The sequence below is a fragment of the Homo sapiens genome, chromosome 15 (assembly GCF_000001405.40).
Source record: "Homo sapiens chromosome 15, GRCh38.p14 Primary Assembly".
NCBI classification, from domain to species: Eukaryota; Metazoa; Chordata; class Mammalia; order Primates; family Hominidae; genus Homo; species Homo sapiens.
Genome location: NC_000015.10, coordinates 80,048,890 through 80,071,383, shown reverse-complemented (window position 1 = coordinate 80,071,383; position 22,494 = coordinate 80,048,890). Strand labels below are relative to the sequence as shown.

The 22,494-nt window shown below is 42.0% G+C and overlaps 1 protein-coding gene across 12 annotated transcripts in view, besides 4 other annotated features; it reads right to left on the bottom strand.

Moving 5' to 3' along the window:
- Positions 1-12,433, bottom strand: part of ZFAND6 (zinc finger AN1-type containing 6) — a 79,443-nt gene extending 67,010 nt beyond the window's left edge. For 5 of the 12 annotated variants that reach the window (NM_001242912.2, NM_019006.4, NM_001242917.2 and 2 more), the window contains exon 1: positions 11,575-11,708. The gene's annotated coding sequence lies outside the window, so the exon portion shown is untranslated. Of the gene's footprint in view, positions 1-11,136; positions 11,266-11,420; positions 11,463-11,574; positions 11,709-12,398 lie in introns of those variants that run through there. The other 7 variants (XM_024449959.2, NM_001242913.2, XM_024449956.2 and 4 more) reach the window with 3 other exon arrangements.
- Positions 4,201-4,250: an enhancer, noted in NCBI's record as "active region_9943". NCBI's record gives its function as "activates an Ori minimal core promoter by ATAC-STARR-seq in GM12878 lymphoblastoid cells {active_cell/tissue: GM12878}" and the evidence as "EXISTENCE:reporter gene assay evidence [ECO:0000049][PMID:35858748]".
- Positions 11,136-12,005: a silencer, noted in NCBI's record as "silent region_6730". NCBI's record gives its function as "represses an Ori minimal core promoter by ATAC-STARR-seq in GM12878 lymphoblastoid cells {active_cell/tissue: GM12878}" and the evidence as "EXISTENCE:reporter gene assay evidence [ECO:0000049][PMID:35858748]".
- Positions 11,136-12,030: a biological region, named in NCBI's record as "ReSE screen-validated silencer GRCh37_chr15:80351696-80352024".
- Positions 11,702-12,030: a silencer, noted in NCBI's record as "fragment chr15:80351696-80352024 (GRCh37/hg19 assembly coordinates)". NCBI's record gives its function as "represses an EF-1alpha promoter that drives an FKBP-Casp9 reporter gene in an ReSE screen in K562 erythroleukemia cells {active_cell/tissue: K562}" and the evidence as "EXISTENCE:reporter gene assay evidence [ECO:0000049][PMID:32094911]".
- Positions 12,434-22,494: the final 10,061 nt, after the last annotated feature.

Here is a 22,494-nt window from a genome sequence, read left to right as displayed (position 1 = left end):
CTGTGATTCATAAACTCGAAATTAAAGCTTATTAGAGTGACTTCTTCTTAAAATATGCTTTCAATGTATGGTTTGCATCAGAAAATAAAAAGTGACAAAACCTTTAAACATTTTAATTTGAAGTTTTCAAAGTTCAAAATCTTGCAACTATTTTTCCTCAGAGAAAACTCAAATATTAGAACACAAAGCCAACAAAATTGTTTTGAATACAAAGGGAAGTCTTTGTAACAAACTGAAAATTCACATAATTGCAACTAGGCATGAATATGGAGCAATACCCTGCTGAAGCCCAAACAGCTGCATAATCTATTATGCCCTTTAAGTGGACAAATTGAAAGAGCCAATTCACAGGGGTCTACTCCCAAGATCCTTTGCAAGGATTCACTGTTTTGAATGCCCAGCACTTCATGAGTCAAGTTCAGGTTTTCTTCCCACTGTGTGGACACTCTTGCAAAAGAACACTGGAAGCAGAGGAGGTACAGAAGCAATCAGCAAAAAGAATATACAGTTTGAATTACAGCATAAGATTTGAGGAAAAGTGACTGTAGATGGCCAAAGGTTTTACGGGAAGAAAAAAAAAAGAGATGGCAAACAGTTTAATCTTAAAATCTGGCAAGCATAAAATTAGTAAATAGTTATGGAAACCAAATAAACCTTTGCTCTCGCATCAATTTTTCACTTCGAAGTTAATTATGAAACAAATACGAATCATACACTAATATAACACCAAGACCACTCTCCATCTATACATAACCAAGAGAAAAGAGAACTGTGGACTCAGTGATTCCGGATCATTTTAAGATCTCTGGGACCTGCTTGAAAGAACATCAAGATGATTACCATTTTAGGTAGCAAACAGGTTAAAATTAAGAGTTAGCTTATTTCATTTCTAAATCAGCAGCAGCAGAAAACAACAGCAAAAACAAAAAGAAAGCAATGTCACAACCATAAAATGTATAACCGAGATAATATGAAAACAATATTGCTTCTCAGGAACAAGGAGCCTGCAAAAAGCTCTGGAGCTCCCTGATTGCATGCAGTAACAACACTTTTTAAGCATCAAGTATTCAAAGATGTATTGTATATTATTTGTGGAAGCCCAGAAAGTTTCCCAAATCTTATCAGCTAAAAACAATTTAGAAGAGAACAAGCCACTGAACAATTTGGTCCCACTTCACTTTTGATTAAAAAGACCCTACTTACATAAAGAATCAATATCTAGACTATTAGGAACAACTTTTGGCAGAATATATACAGAACAGGGCAAACACTTTCTTAGAATTTTGAAGGATTCCATATAGTTCAAACTGCTCTTCCTACAAAAGAAATTAATCCTGGGCATTTTCTCTGGCACGACTGGTGGTTTATTGTAGTAGTTGATAAAAAGACCACCCTGACATTAGCAAAACATAACTGGGATCACTAAGGATAAACTCTGAAAAACACCTCAATGGGGAATAAAAAATAAAAAAATATGGCCAGGTGTGGTGGCTCACGCCTGTAAATCCCAGCACTTTCGGAGGCAGAGGCAGGTGGATCACAAGGTCAGGAGTTCAAGACCAGCCTGGCCAAGATGGTGAAACCCCGTCTCTACTAGAACTACAAAAATTAGCCTCGTGCAGTGGCAGGTGCCTGTAATCCCAGCTACTTGGGAGACTGAGGCAGGAGGATTGCTTGAACCCGGGCAGCAGACATTGCACTCCAGCCTGGGCTATAGAGTAAGACTCTGTCTCTAAATAAATAAATAAATAAATAAATAACAAAAAATAAAAAAAATATTTCCCTGGCAAAAGTAAGATATATTTGAGCCTGCAATTCCTGGTGTATCTCTCCTGACTCCTTAGGGAAAAGATTACAAGGTGTGTATGAGGAGTTGGGGAGTTTGAATGAATGGCATATGAGGTCAAACACTGAACACAAAGGAAACATTAAGGAAACATACAAATAAGCAAGCATAAACCAAGCCGATAGGATAAGGTATCTTTCTACAAAAAAACAGTACATTGCTTTGTTTTAGGTCTCAAGGGATAAACAAGGTCACTGATTAATGCAAAATAAAAAGAAACAGGGATCACAATAGTGAGACAAAAATAAAAGAGAAGGCATTTATAATACTCAACTATTAAGATTTTAAGTCATAAATTTTCATGTGCCAAACAACATATCATAGATCATCTAAGAAAAAGTGCTAGACATAGAAAAACTAAGAGAAAATAGACTGGCCAACTTTAAATTCTCTCTCTCCTTGGAGGCCTAAACCAGAAAAAAATAAATAAAATATTACATAAAAGACGAAGACTCATTCTTTATATAGTTACTGAAAGAGCTTTTCTCAACCATTTTAATCAGTCACAAAGAAAACAATTCTGAAAAGCAAAAGCTGAATAGGTAACATTCTCTGTAAACTATGCAATAACATTCAAAAGTTAACAGAGTTAGTTTATTCATTCACCAAATCTTTTGAACGTCTGTTATGCGCTGAAGATACCACAGTAAATAAAATGGATATAGTCCCTACCACTGTACAAACTTATGGTCGAGTCAGACCAGTGCTGTCTCACAGAAACATAATGAGAGCCACATGTGGTTTTCTATTTCCTAGTAGTCACATTGAAATTTAAAAATTGGCTGGGCACGGTGGCTCACGCCTGTAATCCCAAGACTTTCAGAGGCCAAGGCAGACAGATTACTTGAGCTCTAAAGTTCAAGACCGGCTGAGCGCGGTAGCTCACGCCTATAATCCCAGCACTTTGGGAGGCCACAGTGGGCGGATCACCTGAGGTCAGGTGTTCGAGACCAGCCTGGCCAATATGGCGAAACCCAGTCTCTACTTAAAATACAAAAATTAGCCAGGCGTGGTGGCACTCGCCTGTAATCCCAGCTACTCCGGAGGCTGAGGCAGGAGAATCACTTGAACCCGGGGGCTGGAGGCTGCAGTTAGCCGAGATCGTGCCACTGTACTCCAGCCTGGGCAACAGAGCGAGACTCCATCTCAAAAAAAAAGTTCAAGACCAGCCTGGGCAACACAGTGAAACCCCATCTCTACAAAAAATTTTAAAAATTTTTAAAAATTATACAGGCATGGTGGCGCGCCTGTAGTCCCAGCTACTTAGGAGGCTGAGGTGGGAGGATCCCTTGAGCCAGGGAGGTTGAGACTACAGTGAGCCAACATCACATCACTGCACTCCATCCTGGGCGACAAAGGCAACACCATGTCTCAAAAACAAACAAACAAACAAACAAAAAAAAAAAAAACAGGCCAGGCGCGGTGGTGCTCGCCTGTAGTCCCAGCTACTTGGGAAGCAGAGGCAGGAGAATCACTTGAACCCAGGAGGCAGAGGTTGCAGTGAGCCGAGATTGTGCCACTGCACTCCAGCCTGGGCAACAGAGTAAGATTCCGTCTCAAGAAAAAAAAATTTTTTTAATTAAGAAATAAAATTAACAGTAATAGTATATTTTAACACAATACATGTAAAATATCACTACTTCAATATGTAATATTTTAAAAATTGAGATATTTTCATTGTTTGGTACTAGAAATCAAGTTCCTATTTCAAACTTAATACATCAGTTCAGACTTGCCATATCTCAATAGTCAGATGTGACTATTTAAATAAAATATGGTAGCCATTAGCCACAGGACTATAAATTAAGATAAGTATCTATTATTGCAGAAGACTGTCTCTCTGCTGTCCAACACAATCGCCACTAGCCACATAAGGCCACTGAGTGAGCACCTAGAATGTGACTAATACAAATGAGGAACTGAATTTTTAATATTAAATTAAATTTAAATTTATTTAAATAGCCACAAGTGGATGGTAGCTACCAGACTATGGTTCTGGAAGAAGAAATAGATGCTAAAACAATTCACACAAACTTAATGAACTGGAGTTGTTACAAATGTTTATGAAAGAAAAGCCCAATATAAAATGAGCCCATGAAGCCAAGAGAAAGACCTAACCTATTTTGTGGCATCAAGGAAGGATTCCTCAAGGAAATCACAACTAAGCAAAACAAAAGCATATGCAAAGGTCTTGAGTAGAGAAAACTGAAAACAGTAGAAATAATGAAGAAAAGTAACAAGAGGTAAAATAATATATGCTATTTGTAGGAGACTGATTTGGATTACAAAATCAAAACTCCATAGGAAGGCAGGAGGGGTGGAAGCAGCCCTACCATTTGGAAATAAAAAATAAAAGTCTCCCAAACAAGTCCTGAAACAAAGCTTGTCCCACTGTCCTCCCTCAGTAAACACCAGTCATTCTAATCTTCTGTCAAATTCAAAGTCAAGTCAAGCACTTTGCATATGTACCATTTGTGCCAGCAGTTCTCTTCACATGGGAAACTACCTTCAACTTCTTGATTTTAGAACTCAGAATCAAAGTTCCAAATTTTCTACACAGGACAAGCTTTGGAGCAGCAATCCAGCTGGAAGATGGGGAAGAGGCTTCAAACTGTTTGCAATTTTTTTTTTTTTTTTTTGGGAGATGGAGTCTCACTGTGTCGCCCAGGCTAGAGTGTAGTGGTGCAGTCTCGGCTCACTGCAACCTCCGCCTCTAAGTTTCAAGTGATTCTCCTGCCTCAGCCTCCCGAGTAGCTGGGATTACAGCTACCGGCCACCACGCCCAGCTAATTTTGGTATTTTCAACAGAGATGAGGTTTCGCCACGTTGGCCAGGCTGGTCTTGAACTCTTGACATCAAGTGATCTCAGCCAGGCCTGCAAAGCAATTTTCACAAAATATTTTCCCAAAAAAACTTAGTCATTTCGGCTGGGCGTGGTGGCTCACGCCTGTAATCCCAGCACTTTGGGAGGCTGAGGCGGGTGGATCACCTGAGGTCAGGAATTTGTGACCAGCCTGGCCACCGTGGTGAAACCCCATCTCTACTAAAAATACAAAAATTAGCTGGGCATGGTGGCGCATGCCTGTAATCTCAGCTACTCAGGAGGCTGAGGCAGGAGAATTGCTTGAACCCAGGAGGCAGAGGTTGCAGCGAGCCAAGACCACACCACTGCACTCCAGCCTGGGCAACAGAGTGAGACTCCGTTTTTTTTTTTTTTTATGTTTCGATAGATTGGGAAAGCTAAAGAAACTCCCATACACACCTTGGTACCACCAATCAACTTAAACATGACATCCTCAGAGAGACAGTCTCAGATCATCCAATTAGCACCTTCTATTATTTATTTACTTCCTAGACACTTGTCGAAATCTGAAAATTCTTTATTCGTTGGTTTGTCTATATTGACAGACTGTAACTGGATGAAGGCAAGAGACCTTGTCTTGTACATAGTTGTGTCCTCAGCACTTGGCAGAATGTCTAGATGGAGCAGGTGCTTAAATACTTGTTGAAAAAATAAAAACTGCAACTGCAGGGGTTTTTAAATATATAAACATAAAAATATTACTCATCAAAATTTAAGTAATATAGCTAAAGCTATGCTCAGAGGAACATTCAATAGGATTACATTTTTTCATTATAAAACATAAAATATTATAAAAGTTGCAATTTTTTTAAGTTAAAAAATTCAAAACTGGCCAGGCACAGTGGGTCACGCCTGTAATCCCAGCACTTTGGGAGGCCGAGGTGGGTAGATCACCTGAGGTCAGGGGTTCGAGACCAGCTTGGCCAACACGATGAAACCCTATCTCTACTAAAAACACAAAAATTAGCCAGGTGTGGTGGCACACCCCTGTAATCCCAACTACTCAGAAGGCTGAGGCATGAGAATCACTTGAACCTGGAGACAAAGGCTGCAGTGAGCCAAGATCATGCCATCACACTCCAGCCTGGGCAACAGAGTAAGACTCTGTCTCCAAAAAAAAAAAAAAAAAAAAAAAAATCAAAACCAAAACTAATTTGAAGCCCCAAAAGAATAAACTAAAAAATCTGAGGACTAACAAAGCAACAACCAAAAAAGGGGGATGGGGGGGAGACTTAAACAATAACAGAAACACACTTGTTTACAAAATGAAAATACCATGCCCCATGTATACAAGTGTACACTGGTACCAAATCATTGATATTTCAATAAAACCTAAAAAGAACCAAGAAGATGTGCATTTAACATATGATAAAGGCAGCTTTATTTCAAGGCAACAAGTTGTTTTTTTTTTTAGTGGGGCCAAAATTTTTAAGGAAAAATAAGGGAGGTTATTTCACTTCACATATGTCAAAATAAATCCCAGATGAACAGAAAAAGACAGATGTGAAATATGAAACCGTAAAAGAACTAGAAGAAAACTTAACTGGGTAGGAGAAGCCTTTAAATATAAAAGCAAAGTAGAAGCCATAAAAGAAAGTATTAACCTAATTTTCTTAAAAAGTAAAAACCCTTGCCTGTTTTTTTGTTTTGTTAAAAAAAAAAAAAAAAAAAAGGGGGAGAGAGAGAGAGCAAGAGAAAAGACAACACTGTTAGGTAAATGAAGAGCCAGGAAAAATATTTGCATGCCAGGCCCAGTGGCTCATACCTGTAATCCCAGCACTTAGGGAGGCCAAGGCAGGTAAATTGCTTGAGCCCAGGAGTTTGAAACCATTCTGGGCAACATGGTAAAACCCCATCTCCACAAAAAATTGCCAGGCATGGTGGGGAACGCCTGTAATCCCAGTTACACAGGAGGCTGAGGCGGGATAATCACTTCAGCCCAGGAAGTAGAGGCCTCAGTGAACCATGACTGCACCACTGCCCTCTATCCTGGGTGATAGAGCAAGACCGTGTCTCAAAAAACATTTTAAAAAACCCAAACATACGTGTGTGTGTGTGTGTGTGTGTATGTATACATGTGTATATATATTTGTGTGTATATGTATATTTGCAGTATATAGCAGAGTTGCTATCCTAAATCCTAAAAATATAAAAAGTTTAAAAGGGTATCACAAATATAAAACACCAGCCAAAATGGGCAAAAGATAAACTAGAAGATGTCCAATATCCAGGTTTATTTACCATCATAATTAATTAAAGAAATATATGATGATTCCTATAGAAAGGGAAGGAAAGATGGAGGGTAGATGGATAGACAGATAATGCTGGTAAAGATATACAAGAAATGTGTATTCTGTCATATTTTTAGTCAAATTTGATATTAAAGTTTGATGTTAGTCAAACTTTTAAGGACAAAATTTGGCAATATTTATGAAAAGACTTTAAGAAATGTTCATATGCTTTGATTCAGTGATTGTAAGACAGACTAGATCCGAAAGAAACAATGACAAATACATAGTAGTAGCTCTTATATTTATCACACTACTTATAATAATAAGAAAAAAATAATAAACTTAAGTTACACCCAACAGATAACTAGGTTATAGTACTTTTATAAGATGGAACTGTCCATGTGGGTAACCACTAGTCATATGTGGCTACCGAGCACTTGAAATGTGGCCAGTCTGGGTCAGACATGGTGGCTCACGCCTGTAATCCCAGCACTTTGGGAGGCCAAGGCAGGCAGATCATTTGAGGCCAGGAGTTCAAGACCAGCCTGGCCAACATGGTGAAACGCGGTCTCTACTAAAAACATAAAAATTTAGGCCGGGTGCAGTGGCTCACACCTGTAACCCTAGCATTTTGGGAGGCCTAGGCAGGTGGATCACCTGAGGTCAGGAGTTTGAGACCAGGCTGGCCAACATGCTGAAACCCCCTCTCTACTAAAAATACAAAAATTAGCTGGGTGTAGTGGCATGCACCTGTAGTCCCAGCTACTGGGGAGAGGCTGAGGCAGGAGAATCGCTTGAACCCAGGTTGCTGTGAGCCGAGATTGTGCCACTGCACTCTAGCCTGTATAACAGAGTAAGATTCCGTCTCAAAAAAAAAAAAAAAAATTAGCTGGGCGTGGTGGTGCATGTCTGTAGTCTCAGCTACTCGGGAGGCTGAGGAACAAGAATCACTTCAACCTAGGAGACAGAGGTTGCGGTGAGCTGAGATCGCACCGTTGCACTCCAGCCTGGGAGACAGAGCAAGACTCTGTCTCAAAAAAAATACAAAAAAAGAAATGTAGCTAGTCTGAATTGAGATGTACTTTAAGTGGAAAATACACACCAAATTATAAAGACAGTCTAAAAAAAGACAACTATCCCATCAACAATTTCTTATACTGATTACATGTTGAAATAATAGTTTTTGGGTTACATAAAACGTATTTTCACCAGTTTCTCTTTTTTTCATAATGTGGCTACCAGAAAATTTTAAATTACTTAATGTAGCTCCCATTTGTGACTAACGTTGTATTTCTAGTGGACTTTGCTGGTCTGAGGTATATAAGCCACAGTAAGAGGTTTCAATTTTATTTGGTATATTGAAAAGCTACTGGGAGGTTTTGAGTCAGAGAGTAAGATACTGTAATTTACAAATTTACACATTTAAATGAAGCAGAAGAGTAGAAAAGTTGAAGCAATGGTAACAGATGACTTCTATTATCATCTTATATGAAATAAGATGGTGAGGCAGATTACATTTCGGTAAGTTCTTAAGAAAGAGCCAGGCTGAGAGTGTTTAGAATGGACTCTTAATAGTTTAGGATATTAAGAATACACACATAAAGACCAGGGGTATACCTGACAAAATGTTAATAATAGTTATCTATCATGGTGTTATAGGTGGCTTTTCTTAGTAACTTTCTATTCTTTCTCAAGTTTGAGGGGGAAAACCCCATATACACATTGTCCTTATAATTAAATAAAAAATAAGGTTTTTAAAAGCAGAATACAGCCCTACCAAAACAAAGCATCCTGATATTTGTCTGCAAGCTACATATAGAAAAAATGAAACCATCTCTACTCCCATGCCTTCAAACAAAAAGGTTATTCAAAATTACATGTAAATTCACACTTACATACATGAATGAAACATGAAACACATAAAAACACACCTATCTTCAGGATAGTAAGGAGATACTATTCCCTAATTTGTCGCTGTGTTCCTGTTAGCATAATGAAACAGATCCTCGGGAAACACACCTTGTGGGCATTCTCTAATCTAAAACATATTTAAATATGGAGTTAACAAATCCTGAACCACCACACAACTTTTCCAAAAATGTTCCAAAGGATACAAAATTTAATTCCACAGAATAACACCTTGGTCCTAATGCTTTCCCTTAAAGGGTGTGACATTTGACAGGTGTTTTCCTTAATTAAAGTCTGTGCAAAAGTGGAAGGATAAGCTTAGGACAAGTTTCTTTTACATGAGTATGCTAAGGCACAAGAGAAATTTTTAAGTAATTTGCTAGAGATTAGAGGGGAGGAGAGGAACAGCAGAAAGGATAATTTATTTTACATACAATCCAGCGTTTTTTCTACTATACTATTTTTGCATTGAAAAGGAGATACCAAACAGTGCCAGACTTTTTACAATGTGACTTCAAAGTAAGAGAGTCATTACACATAGGTTAACAGGAATTTTGGGTTTTCATGCAAATGTTCAACTAGGTTGAACTAGTTCAATCACTACGGCTATGAATCTTCTATTTAAACATAATAGAGAATCCTAATGTTTTTCATTCATCTTATTTCTAAGTAATTCAATCTATTCTAGTCCTGATTACCTAATACCGTCTAATGCAATCCACATTAAGTATTTACTCTAGAGAAATTCTTGTACTTGTGTACCAAGAGCCGGAAACAAGAAATGTTCACAGAGCAAGACTGCTTATAACAAAACAAAATAAAAAACAATAAAAACACGGTCGAAGTGCCCATAAGTTATGGCAGATTAACATATCATAAAGCAATGAAATAAACTACAGCCACATACTATTTTTATAAAGCTCAAAAGAAAAACAAATTAAATGCCACACAGTTTCGGCATACAAACATATATGATAAAACTATTTTTCAAAAAGTCAAGGAAGTGACATACACAAAATCCACTGCACAGATAAGAAACTCATAGACAAATGCAAGTTTTAGTAATGTTCCAGTTTTGGGTTTGGGGGGAGTCATCAAGGATTTATGATGTTTTTATCTGCTTATACTTTACCGTGTTTTTTTTTGGTAGTATTAAATATATTTTGGTTACTTCTTAAAAACGTTACTGACATATAGTTGACAATAAACTGCACATATTTGAAGTGTAAAACGTGTAAGTTCTGACATATGCATACACCCAAAAAGTTATCACTACAAGATAATAAATCCACCGACCCCTGTATTTTCTCCTGCACATTTGTGATGTCTCCCTTTAAACACATTTTAAAACGTAAAAAAGTAAAAATAAAAAAGACAACTTGTTTTGGAAAGCTAAACGTGCATATTTTGCAAAACATTTCCCCTAGGGCTCTGGAGAAACTATACACAACTCAGAAAGTGCCTTAAAATTGGTGACATGGTTACCGAACAACTAACCTTAAAAGTTTATGGTATTTTACACTTTTAAAAAATCAAATTCCGATTTCGGTTTGAAAGAGGAATTTAATCCTGTTTCTCGGAGCTTCAAAATCATTAATTCTGCCCGGCTTTTTTTTGAGACGGAGTCTCCCTCTGTCGCCAGGCTGGAGTGCAGTAGCGCGATCTTGGTTCACTGCAACCTCCGCCTCCCGGGTTCAAGCGATGCTCCTGCCTCAGCCTCCCAGTAGCTGGGACTACCGGCGCCCGCCACCACACCCAGCTAATTTTTGTATTTTTAGTAAAGACAGGGTTTCACCATGTTGGCCAGGATGGTCTCGATCTCCTGACCTCGTGATTAGTCCGCGTCGGCCTCCCAAAGTGCTGGGATTACAGGCGTTGAGTCACCGCGCGTGGCCAATTCTGCCCAGTTTTTATGGCCCAACAACTTAATATAAATTATCTTTAGGTAACCCCAAGGTCCTAACTTCCTCACAACTGGTTACAACTTCCGAGATGTGAAGGTAAATCATAGCGTCCCAACTGTGTAGGATAGTTAGCACGTGACTTAAAAACCAAGTTAAAAAGATTTCAAACACAATATTCTTTCATACTTTTTTAGGTAGCTAAAACTTAAATATAACTATTTCAAAAAAGCAGACAAAAAATTTAGAATCCTAAGCAAGCTAAACCCAAGCAGGAAAAAAAGAGACCAATTCCCTTCCCGGTGCCAGTCAGGAGTTGGAGACACCGGGCTGCCTCCGGCTGGTTTCTGAAAAACGCCGCAGGTGGAAAAACATCCCGAAGAGGACCTGAGACTCGGAGGAGGCGGGGAACTGACGCGCCCCAGTGTGCCCGGGGCCCTTCCGACCCCCGCCAGCCAACCGCTCGCAACCCGCTCGGGGCGGCGCGCGTCGCGGCCTCCGCGGCCCTGAAGAACTGAGGCTCCCGACCCCAGCGCGACCACCCTGACAGGAAGCGGCCCCCGGCCGCGGGCGCCCGCGCGCCGTCTGAGGTGAACCCGCCGATCTCCGGCCCCCACCCCCGGAGCCGGGAGTCCTCGCCCTCTCGCCCGCGGCCCCCGCGGGCCCACCACCTGCTGCGCCGGCCGGCCGCCCTCCGCTTCCGGCTCTCGGGCGCCGGGAGGGGCCGGGGGCGGGCCTCGCCTAGCTGCAGCCGGGTGGGGGAAGGGAGCAGGCGGGGGAGGGGCAGCGCCGGGCAAGCCGGGCCCCGCGGGCCGCGCTCCTCACCTGGCGGCGGGTCTCTCCGCCTGACACGCTGCGCGCCGCCGCCGGTAGCCGCCGGTGAATGGGTACAGGTAATGCCGCCGAACCCCTGCTTGCTCCGGCTCCGCCACCGCCGGCCCCTCCGTCCGCTGTTTATTAAACTTTTCTGTTTGGTTGTTCGGCCTATGACGCGACCGCGGAGGAGAGCCACTGGATTGGCCGGCTCCCGCGGCTGACGCGCGGGCCCCGCCCGCCCGCTAATTATTACCGGCGCGGGCGGGGCCGCAGGCCGGAGGAGGCGGGGAGAGGCGGGGTCAAGGCTCGGAGCGCACGGCAATTGGCCGGAGGCAGGAAAAGAGGCGGGGCGGAGCGAAAGGAGATGCTCCTCCGCCTTCTGCACCTCCAGTGTCCCTTGCTCCACTGCCCTCTCTGGGGCGCTTCCCGCCGCGGTTTCTCTACCTCCAATAGCTACGGGAAGGCGATTAAGAGGTGCCGCGGAGACTTTAAGGGCTTGGTTATGTAGGTTCAGGTACCTTTGCCACCTCGCAGGGAATGGCGTGTCCCTGTCTTGGACTGAGGCACCAAAAAGAGTTGCACTCCACCTGCCACTTGTGCAGGAAGGAATTCTGAGCTTCTGTCTTCCCATGCAGGCCGGCGCCTCAGTCTGCAAGCGCAAAGTCCGAGCTCAGGGCGCATACTGGAAAGCAGTTCTCTGCCCTGTCCTGAACTGGGACTTGGAAATAGAAGCAAGACGAGAAGCGTGCATGCACACGTGTGCAATACATACATGCACAGGCACAAGCACCCCCAGTTCCAGCCTGTTCCAAAAGCACGGGGTCAGTTCCCACCTGCGTGGTGCACGCTGGGCTGCTGCGCTGGAACTAGGGGTGATAGGCAGAATGGCTCCCCCTGAAGTTTTTCAGCCTTCGTTCGGGCTCACGAGCATCACGAGCAGGAAGTACGTGACACTTTAGTTCGAGGTCATTCAATCCTATTGTGAATGAGGAGTTCCGTTAGGGCATCCAGGTAGGCGAGCCCAGTCCTGAGAATCCTCTTTATTTTAAATGTTGGTATTTTGTTATTCATGGATTTTTTTTTTGCATTAATTTTAATTTTAAAAAATAAAAATGTTATTCATCTTGATCACTTAGTTTTTTGGTGCTCCCTTAAATGTTGTGCCTGAAGTGAGTACCTGTTGAGCATTTAGCAACACAGAAGTCACCTTGGGGAGTACAGTTTAAGTGGAGGACAAAAGCCTGATTGGAATGGTAATAAAACCTACTTGTTAGGCTATTTGTGGGGGTTAAATAACATAATATGTGTGAAAGAGCTTCTTGAACTAGCAAGGTTATGCGTCAAGTCTTACGGATTTTGTCTTAAATGTATTTTTCTTCCGATTCTTGTCCAGTTTATCGTTGTATTAACTCCAGCACCTAACCCAGTTGGATTTTCATATGCAGTTATTATGAATTTGCAGAAATTGGGTTTACATGACCTTTACTGCTTTCCTTTGTTCCAGATTCGTTCTGGGAGATTGAGAGATTATAGTATTGCATTGTGACGTGGAATGCAGACAGACCACTGTCACTTACTAGCTTTGTGCTCTTAAGAAAATTGTGTGAAATGGGAACGAAAACCTACCACAAAGGATTGTTATGAGGGTTAAAAGATACTGCATTTCTATTCACCCAGTAAATGCTATATGCCGACTCTCTGCCAGCCTGTGCTGTAGGTGCTGGAGACAGCATTAAGAAAGATGAAGGCCCTTCTCTCATTGACTTACACAGGGGAAGAGAGGGAGCAGAAACAATAAACAGTATACATACGCAACCTACCGGTCAGTGTACATAAACAACATATTCACAGCACCTGGTATGTAACAGATGCTCAATAAATGATTGTGTATGCATTATTATTTCCAGCCCCATCTTCTTTCCTGTGTTCCAGAGCAGGACATTCACTGTGTGCTTATCACAGCCATTCAATATGTCCAAGGCTTATTTTCCCCCAAACACATTCTTCCTCCTGTAGTCCCAATTTTGGCTAATGGTGACACCATGTTTCCAGTTATTAAAGCTAGAAACTCAAGCTTTATTGAGATTTAACACACATATCATTACAACTTACCCATTTTTAAAGAATACAATTTGCTGGGCGCGGTGACACATGCCGGTGGTCCCAGCTACTCAGGAGGGTGAGCTGGGAGAATTGCTCGAGTCCAGGAGTTCTGGGCAGTAGTGCACTGTACCCACTGGTGTCCACAGAGGGTGGGGGGCACCATCAAGTTGCCTAAGAAAGAGGACTCTGCCCAGGTCCAAAACAGAGCAGGTCAAAACTCCTGTGCTGATTAGTAATGGGATCATGGCCATTGCACTCCAGCCTGGGCAACATAGCAAGACTCTGTCTCCTATTAAAGAAAAAACAAAAAGAAAAATGAAAGAAATTATACAATTCAGTGGTTTTTAGTATATTCACAGTGGTGCAGTTATCACCACAAATCAGTTTCAGAACATTTTGTCACCCTATAAAGAAACCTTGGCAGGGTGCAGTGGCTCATGCCTGTAAATACCAGGGTTTTGGGAGGCCGAGGCAGGTGGATCACTTGAGGTCAGGTGTTAGAGAACAGACTGGTCAACACAGTGAAACCCTGTCTCTACTAAAAATACAAAAATTAGCCAGCCTTGGTGGTGCACACCTGTAGTCCCGGCTGCTTGGGAGGCTGAGGCAGGAGAATCACTTGAACCCGGCAGGCGGAGGTGGCAATGAGCCGAGATCACGCCACTGCACTCCAGCCTGGGTGACAGAGCAAGACTCCATCTCAAAAAAAAACAAAAAACAAAAAAACAACCTTGTACCTATTAGCAGTCACATTCCCCTTTCCCCCAATCCATGGCCCACCTCCACCCCTAGGCAACCATTAAGCTACTGTGTGTCCCTTAAGTTTTGCAAGTGATCCTTTGGCCTCAGCCTCCTGAGTAGCTGGGTCTATGGGTGCAAACTACCATGCCTGGCTAGTTTTGCCTGTTTTGGACATTTCATAAATATGTAGTCATATAATATGTGGTCTTTTGAGACTGGCTACTTTCACTTAGCATAAGGTTTTCAAAGTTCATCGTGTTGTAGTATGTATCAGCACTTTATTTCCTTTTATTGCTGAATATTTCACTGTATTAATATTTAATATAACACATTTATTCATTAATTTATAGACATTTGGGTTGTTGTCCACTTTTTGCCCATTATGTGAATAGTGCTCCTGTTCACATTTTTATCCAAGTTCTTATAGGGACTTTTTTTTTTAACAGATGAGGTCTCACTCTGTCACCCTGGTGAGGGTGTGGTAGCATGAACATAGCTCACTGACACCTCAACTACTGGACTCAAACCATCCTCCCACCTCAGCCTCCCAAGTAGCTGGGACTACGGGTATGCACCACCATGCCCAGCTAATTTTTTTTATTTTTTGTAGAGATGGGGTTTCACTATGTTGCCCAGGCTGGTCTCAAACTCCTGGGCTTAAGCAGTCCTCCCAGCTTGGCCTCTCAAAGTGCTGAGATTACAGGTGTACCACGCCCAGCCTGTTTTTATTTGTCTTGGGTATCTACCTAGGAGTAGGTAGACACTGCGTCATATGGTAACTCTGTTTAGCCATTTGAGGAACTGCCAGACTGTTTTCCATAGAGACTACACCATTTTACATAACCACCAGCAATGAGTGAGAGTTTCAGTTTCTCCACATCTTTGCCAACATTTGTTATAATCAGTCTTCTTGATTATAACTACCCTAGTGAGTATGAAGTGGTGTATCACTGTGGTTTTGCTTTGCATTGCCCTAATGGCTAATGATGTTGAGCATCTTTTCATGTGTTTATTGGCCATTTGGGTATCTTCTTTGAAGTAATGTCTATTCAGATCTTTGCCCATTTTTTAATTGGGTTGTTTGTCTTTTTATTGTTGGTCATAAGAGTTCTTACATGTTCTAGATACAAGTCCCTTTTCAGATATGTAACTTGCAAATATTTTCTCCCATTTTGCATATTGTCTTTTCACTTGCTTGATGATATCATTTGAAGTATAAAAGTTCTTTAATTTTTGCTCTTTTTTTTCTTTTTTTTTTTTGTGATGGAGTCTCTCTCTGTCGCCAAGCTGGAGTGCAGTGGTGCAATCTTGGCTCACTGCAACCTCCGCCTCCCAGGTTCAAGTGATTCTCCTGCCTCAGCCTCCTGAGTAGCTGGGACTACAGGCGCCTGCCACCACACTCAGCTAATTTTTGTATTTTTAGTAGAGACGGGGCTTCACCATGTTGGCCAGGCTGGTCTCAATCTCTTGACCTCATGATCCGCTCGTCTCGGCCGCCCGAAGTGCTGGGATTACAGGCGTGAGCCACCGCACCTGGCCTCATTTTTTTTTCCTTAAGCCCTCCTCTCCCCAATATCCAATTCGTCATGAATTTCACTGATTCTGCCTTAGAAATATCTTTGGAATGCACCCCCACCACCACTGCCCTATACAACTCCCTTGTTATTTCTCACCTGAATTTAAGTAATAGCCTCCAATTCTATTCTCTTTTCTACATCCCCCCACATCCTACCCGATTTATCTTCCAACCGCTTCCAGAAGGATCTTCCTGAAACACAAAATGAGCAGGTCAGACCTCTTTTGGTTCCTCGTCTCTGCTGTAGCAGTTCTCACATTCCTCTGATAAGAATACCTTGAGCATTTAAAAAATTCACATTGCAGGTCATAATCTGGACACAATAAATAAGAATCTCTAGGGGAGGAGTCTGGAAATCTAGTTTTAATAACCCCCCAGGTGATTCTTATTCTCAGAATGGTTTGGCCTAGGACAATGGTTCTAAAGGAGGGGGTGGGATTTTGTCCCCCACAGGACATTTGGCAATGTCTGCAGACATTTTTGGTTGTCACAACTGGGTGGAGCTGTCACTGTCATCTAGTGGCAGCAGGAATGCTGCTAAGCATCCTGTAATGCACAGGGCAGCCCCCCTCAACAAAGAATTACCAGCCTCGGCCAGGCGCGGTGGCTTAATGCCTGTAATCCCAGCACTTTGGGAGGCCGAGGCGGGCGGGCAGATCGTGAGGTCAGGAGATTGAGACCATCCTGGCTAACACGGTGAAACCCATCTCTACTAAAAATACAAAAAAAAAAAAAAAAAAAAAAAAAATTAGCCGGGCGTGGTGGTGGGCGCCTGTAGTCCCAGCTACTCGGGAGGCTGAGGCAGGAGAATGGCGTGAACCCGGGAGGCGGAGCTTGCAGTGAGCCGAGATCGCACCACTGCACTCCAGCCTGGGCGAGAGAGTGAGACTCCGTCTCAAAACAAACAAAAAAAGAATTATCAGCCTCAAATGTCAATCATGTCATGTTGAGAAACCCTGGTCCAGGAGATAAAATACATACTTCTGCATTTGAGGCCAGGCAGTTAGTCCCCAACTCTATCAAGTGTCTGTTGCTCCGTAAGAAACACCCCAAACCTAGTGGCTTAAAACAACAATTTATTATCTCTCTTGATTCTGTGGGTGGACTGGGCAATCCTGCTGCTAGTGTTGCCTGGACTCTCTCATGGAGAAGCTGTAGGTGACAGATGAGCTGTGATGGCTGTTTAGCTGGGGCCTCTCTTCCCTCATAGTCTTTCAGAGCACAGCACTTTCAGGAATACAGGAGCATGAGCCTGGTCTTCCTTGGAAGTCGTATGATGACACTTCTGCTATATTGTATGAAAGAATGATATAAGACTGACCTAGATTCAAGGGGTAGGGAGATAAATTCTATCTTTTGAAACAGGGAGCTTGCAAAGAATTGATGGTTTTAATCCACTTTTCCAATTTACCTTTTCAAAACTATCTCCAAGGGCACACCCACTTCTAACATAACCCCAGGGAAGGATAGGACCAAAACAGAATTTGAAGCTCTGGTTAATGGGGAAGGAGCTACTTTTAGAAAAACTTCTCATGGACTTGACTTCTGTTAATAGTGTTTCCTCTAATAGCTTTTCATCAGAGTCTAAATCAAAGTTCTCAAACTTTTGGTTTCGCAGGCCCTCCTTAATGTTTGGCTCAGCACAAGACTGCTTGATTGAGTCTCCTATTTTCCTCTACATTTTTTTTTTTTACACGAAGTCTTGCTCTGTTGCCCAGGCTGGAGTGCAGTGGCGCGACCTCGGCTCACTGCAACCTCCGCCTCCAGGGTTCAAGCGATTCTCCTGCCTCAGCCTCCCAAGTAGCCGGGACTACAGGCATGTACCACCACGCCCGGCTAATTTTTTGTATTTTTAGTAGAGACAGGGTTTCACCGTGTTAGCCAGGATGGTGTCAATCTCTAGACCTCGTGATCCGCCTACCTCAGCCTCCCAAAGTGCTGAGATGACAGGCATAAGCCACCGCACCGGGCCTCTACATTTTATCGGTTACAATATCACACATCAGGTAGCCTCTAGAAAACTCCACTGTACACTCATGACAAAGAGAAATAATGACCTAACATTACAATGAAAATAATTTTGACCTTGCAGACCCTCTAAAAGGATCTCAAGGGCCTCCAGAGGTTCATGGATCACACTTTGAGGACTGCTGGTCTAAACTACCATCAGGTTGACACGGTGTCTTAAAATTGTTGAAAGAGTACTACACTTGTAGTAGGCGTTCAGGCAAGCAGCTCCCTCAACTCATGGACATGCTTCTGCCCACCTCCTTCTATTCATTACATTCAGGATGCTGGGCCTTTTTATGACCTCATCCTTGTACGGGTATTCTCTCTTATCCCTATCAAACTCCCACTCATCCCTCAAAACCCAGTATAAATGCCTGCTCATTGGTCAAGGCTGTCTTGATTCCTCTAGCCATAATTAGGACGCCCCTCTTCTGTGTTTCACACACTTTATTCTTCCTTCTGCAATAGTAGTTCCCTTGTTAAACTGAAATTTGTCAGTCCAGCCTAGGCAACATAGCAAGATATCCTCTCTACTAAAAGTTAAAAAAAAAATTAGCCAGGCGTGGCAGCACATGCCTTACTCAGGAAGCTGAGTTAGAAAGATCACTTGACCTCAGGAGTTTAGGTTACAGCGAGCTGTGATTGTGCCTCTATACTCCAGCCTGGGTAATAGAGCAAGACTCTGTCTCAAAAAAAAAAAAAGAAAGAAAAGGAAAAGAAAGAATGAGATTTGTTTGCCTCTTCCCTAGTTAGACTAGAAACTTGTTTTTCTGAAGTTTGATTAAAAAAAAAATTGGTATATTATAAGCATGTAAATTGTTCCATTTCCAAGTCTCTAACCAATTGTTCTTTTGCTTTTGTTTTATTTTGAGACAAAGCCTCTCTCTGTGACCCAGGCTTGAGTGCAGTGGTGCAGTTTCGGCTCACCACAACCTTGGCCTCCTGTGTTCAAGCAATTCTCGTGCCTCAGTCTCCCAAGTAGCTGGGACTACAGGCACGTGCTACCACGCCCAGCTAATTTTTATATTTTTAGTAGAGACAGGGTTTCGCCATGTTGGCAAGGCTGGTCTTGATCTCTTTACCTCATGATGCACCCATCTCGGCCTCCCAAAGTGCTGGGATTACAGGCCACTGCACCCGGCCATCTCTAATCAATTGTTCTAACAAATATATCAACTCTCCTTTTCCCCATGGTTTTGTGTGAGGCCTTCTTTAGCATATGTCAACTTTTTATACATAATAAATTCTAGATCTGAGTTTTTCCACTATTCTTGCTATTTTTGCTTCAACAGCGTGTTTTTATTCAAGACCCATGACATTTTAATCTCATTGCTATATAATATGCTTTAGTGTCTACTAGAGCTTGTCTTTTTACTATCCATTGCTCTTTTTCTGAATTTTGTTTGAAAATCTGATCTGTTTATGCCTCTAGGTTAACTCTAGAATAATTTAATCAGTTGTTTAAGAAATATCCTGCCAAGATTTGAATTGGAATTGCATTTGCCAAAAACAATTTGGGGGAGCAGGGAGAAATATTTTCATCTTCACAGTATCTGGATGGCCCATTAAGAAATCTGCTGTCGGGCCAGGCACGGTGGCTCACGCCTGTAATCCCAGCACTTTGGGAGGCCGAGGCAGGCGGATCACGAGGTCAGGAGATCGAGACCAAACCTGCTAACACAGTGAAACCCCGTCTCTACTAAAAATACAAAAAAAATTAGCCAGGCATGGTGGCAGGTGCCTGTAGTTCCAGCTACTCTGGAGGCTGAGGCAGGAGAATGCCATGAACCTGGGAGGCGGAGGTTGCAGTGAGCCGAGATCGCGCCACTGCACTCCAGCCTGGGCGACAGAGACAGACTCTGTCTCAAAAAAAAGAAAAAAAGAAAAAAAGAAATCTGCTGTCTTTTTTCCTCATTTGTTCAGCTTTTAAAAAAAACATTTCTCATATTTTTGTTTCCTTAACTTAACAGTGAAATATTAAAGAGAAATGCTTATGAGCATTATTTTTTTGTTAATAATTCACTTATGATTTGTTGAAACTGTGGATGAAATTTTTTTATATTTTCAAGCTAGTCATTGATAATATATTACAACGCTATTTAATTCTGTATATCTATTGTATACCTAACCACTAAACTGGTTAGAAAAAAATATATATATATATAGTGTATGTGTGTATATATATATATATAGTGTATGTATATATATATATAGTGTGTGTGTATATATATATATATAGTGTATGTATATATATATATATATATATATATATATATATATATATTTTTTTTTTTTTTTTTTTTTTTTTTTGAGACAGTCTTGCTTTGTCTCCCAGGCTGGAGTGCAGTGGCACAATCATAGCTCACTGCAGCCTCAACCTCCTGGGCTCAAGCAACCCTCCAACCTCAGCCTCCCAGGTAGTTGGGACTACAGGTGCACAACACCATGCCTAGCTAATTGTAAAATTTTTTGTAGAGACGGGCTACCACTGTTTTGCCCAGGCTGGTCTCAAACTCCTGGGCTCAAGCAAATCCTCTTGCTTCAAACTCCCAAGGTACTGGAATTACAGATGTATATCACCACACCCCATCCTTAAAAAATATTTTAAATAATTTTTCAGTTGATTGCTTTGTTTTTGTGTGTTTGTATGTTTGTTTGTTTGTTTTTTGAGACAGAGTCTTGCTCTGTCGCCCAGGCTGGAGTGCAGTGGCACGATCTCAGCTCACTGCAACCTCCACCTCTCTGGTTCAAGCAATTCCCCTGCCTCAACCTCCCGAGTAGCTGGGATTACAGGCGCACCCCACCATGTCCCGCTTTTTTTTTTGTATTTTTAGTAGAGACCGGGTTTCACCATGGTGACCAGACTGTTCTCAAACTCCTGACCTCAGGCCATCCGCCTGCCTTGGCCTCTCAAAGTGCTAGGATTACAGGCACCCAGCCTGCTTTGTTTTTTGTTAATATAACTAAAATAGTATTTTCTCTTTTTCTTTAAAATATTTATATTTTTATTTATGTTTCATGTCTTACTGATGTAGCCAGAATTTTAAAGCAAAATTAAATAATATTGATATTATTGATATGACAATATTGATCGATATATCATGTTGTTGATATGATAATATTGATATGACATTCCATTATAGACTAGTTTCTGGCAAATGCTGATTTATTTGGAATAAATGTCTTTTTAAAAAATTGTGTTCTCGGCTGGGCGTGGTGGCTTACACCTGTAATCCCAGCACCTTGGGGGGCCGAGGTGGGTGGATCACGAGGTCAAGAGATTTAGACCATCCTGGCCAACATGGTGAAACCTCCTCTCCACTAAAAATACAACAATTAGCTGGGCATGGTGGCGCACGCCTATAGTCCCAGCTACTCAGGAGGCTGAGGCAGGAGAATCGCTTGAATCTGGGAGGCGGAGGTTGCAGTGAGCGAAATCGCAGGCACTGCACTCCAGCCTCGGCAACAGAGCGAGACTCCATCTCAAAAAGAAAAAAAAAAATGTGTTCTGGCCAGACGCGGTGGCTCACACCTGTAATCCCAGCACTTTGGGAGGCCAAGGCAGGCGGAATGCCTGAGCTCAGGAGTTCGCGACCAGCCTGGGCAACATGGTGAAACCCCGTCTCTACTAAAATACAAAAACAATTAGCTGGGTGTGGCGGCGTGCGCCTATAGTCCCAGCTACTTGGGAGGCTGAAGCAGGAGAATTGCTTGAGCCCGGGAGGCGGAGGTTGCAGTGAGCCGAGATTGCGCCAGTGCACTTAGCCTGGACGACAGAGCAAGACTCTGTCTCAAAATAATAATAATAATAATAATAATAATAATAATAATAATAATAATAAATAATAATAATAATGTGTTCCAAGGATGACTACTATATAAACAGAACAATAAGTGTTGGCAAAGATGTGGAGAAATTGGAACTCTTATGCACTGATGGTGGGAGTGTAAAATAGTGCAGCCACAAAAAATTAGAATTACTGTATGATTCAGCAATTACACTTCTGGGCATATAACCAAAAGAACTGAAAGCAGGGTCTCAAAGAGATATTTATACACGGATATTCAAGCAGCATTATTCACAATGCCAAAAGGTGGAAGCATCCTGTGTCCATTGACAGATGAATGGATACACAAAATGTGGTGTATATGTATGAGATGGAATATTATTCCACCTTAAAAAGGAAGGAAATTCTGACACATACAACAACACTGATGAACCTGGGGGACATTATGCTAAGCGAAATAAACCAGTCTCAAAAAGACATATACTGTATGACTGTTTAGATGGGGTACCTAGAGTTATCAAATTCATAGAGACAGAAAGTAGAATGATGGTTGCCAAGGGCTGAGGGGAGGGAGGAATGGACAGTCATTGTTTAATATGTACAGAGTTTCAGTTTTGCAAGATGAAAAGAATTGTGGAGATAGATGGCGGTGATGGCTGCACTAGAAAGTGAATGTCCTTAATGCCACCGACTGTACACTTAAAAATGGTT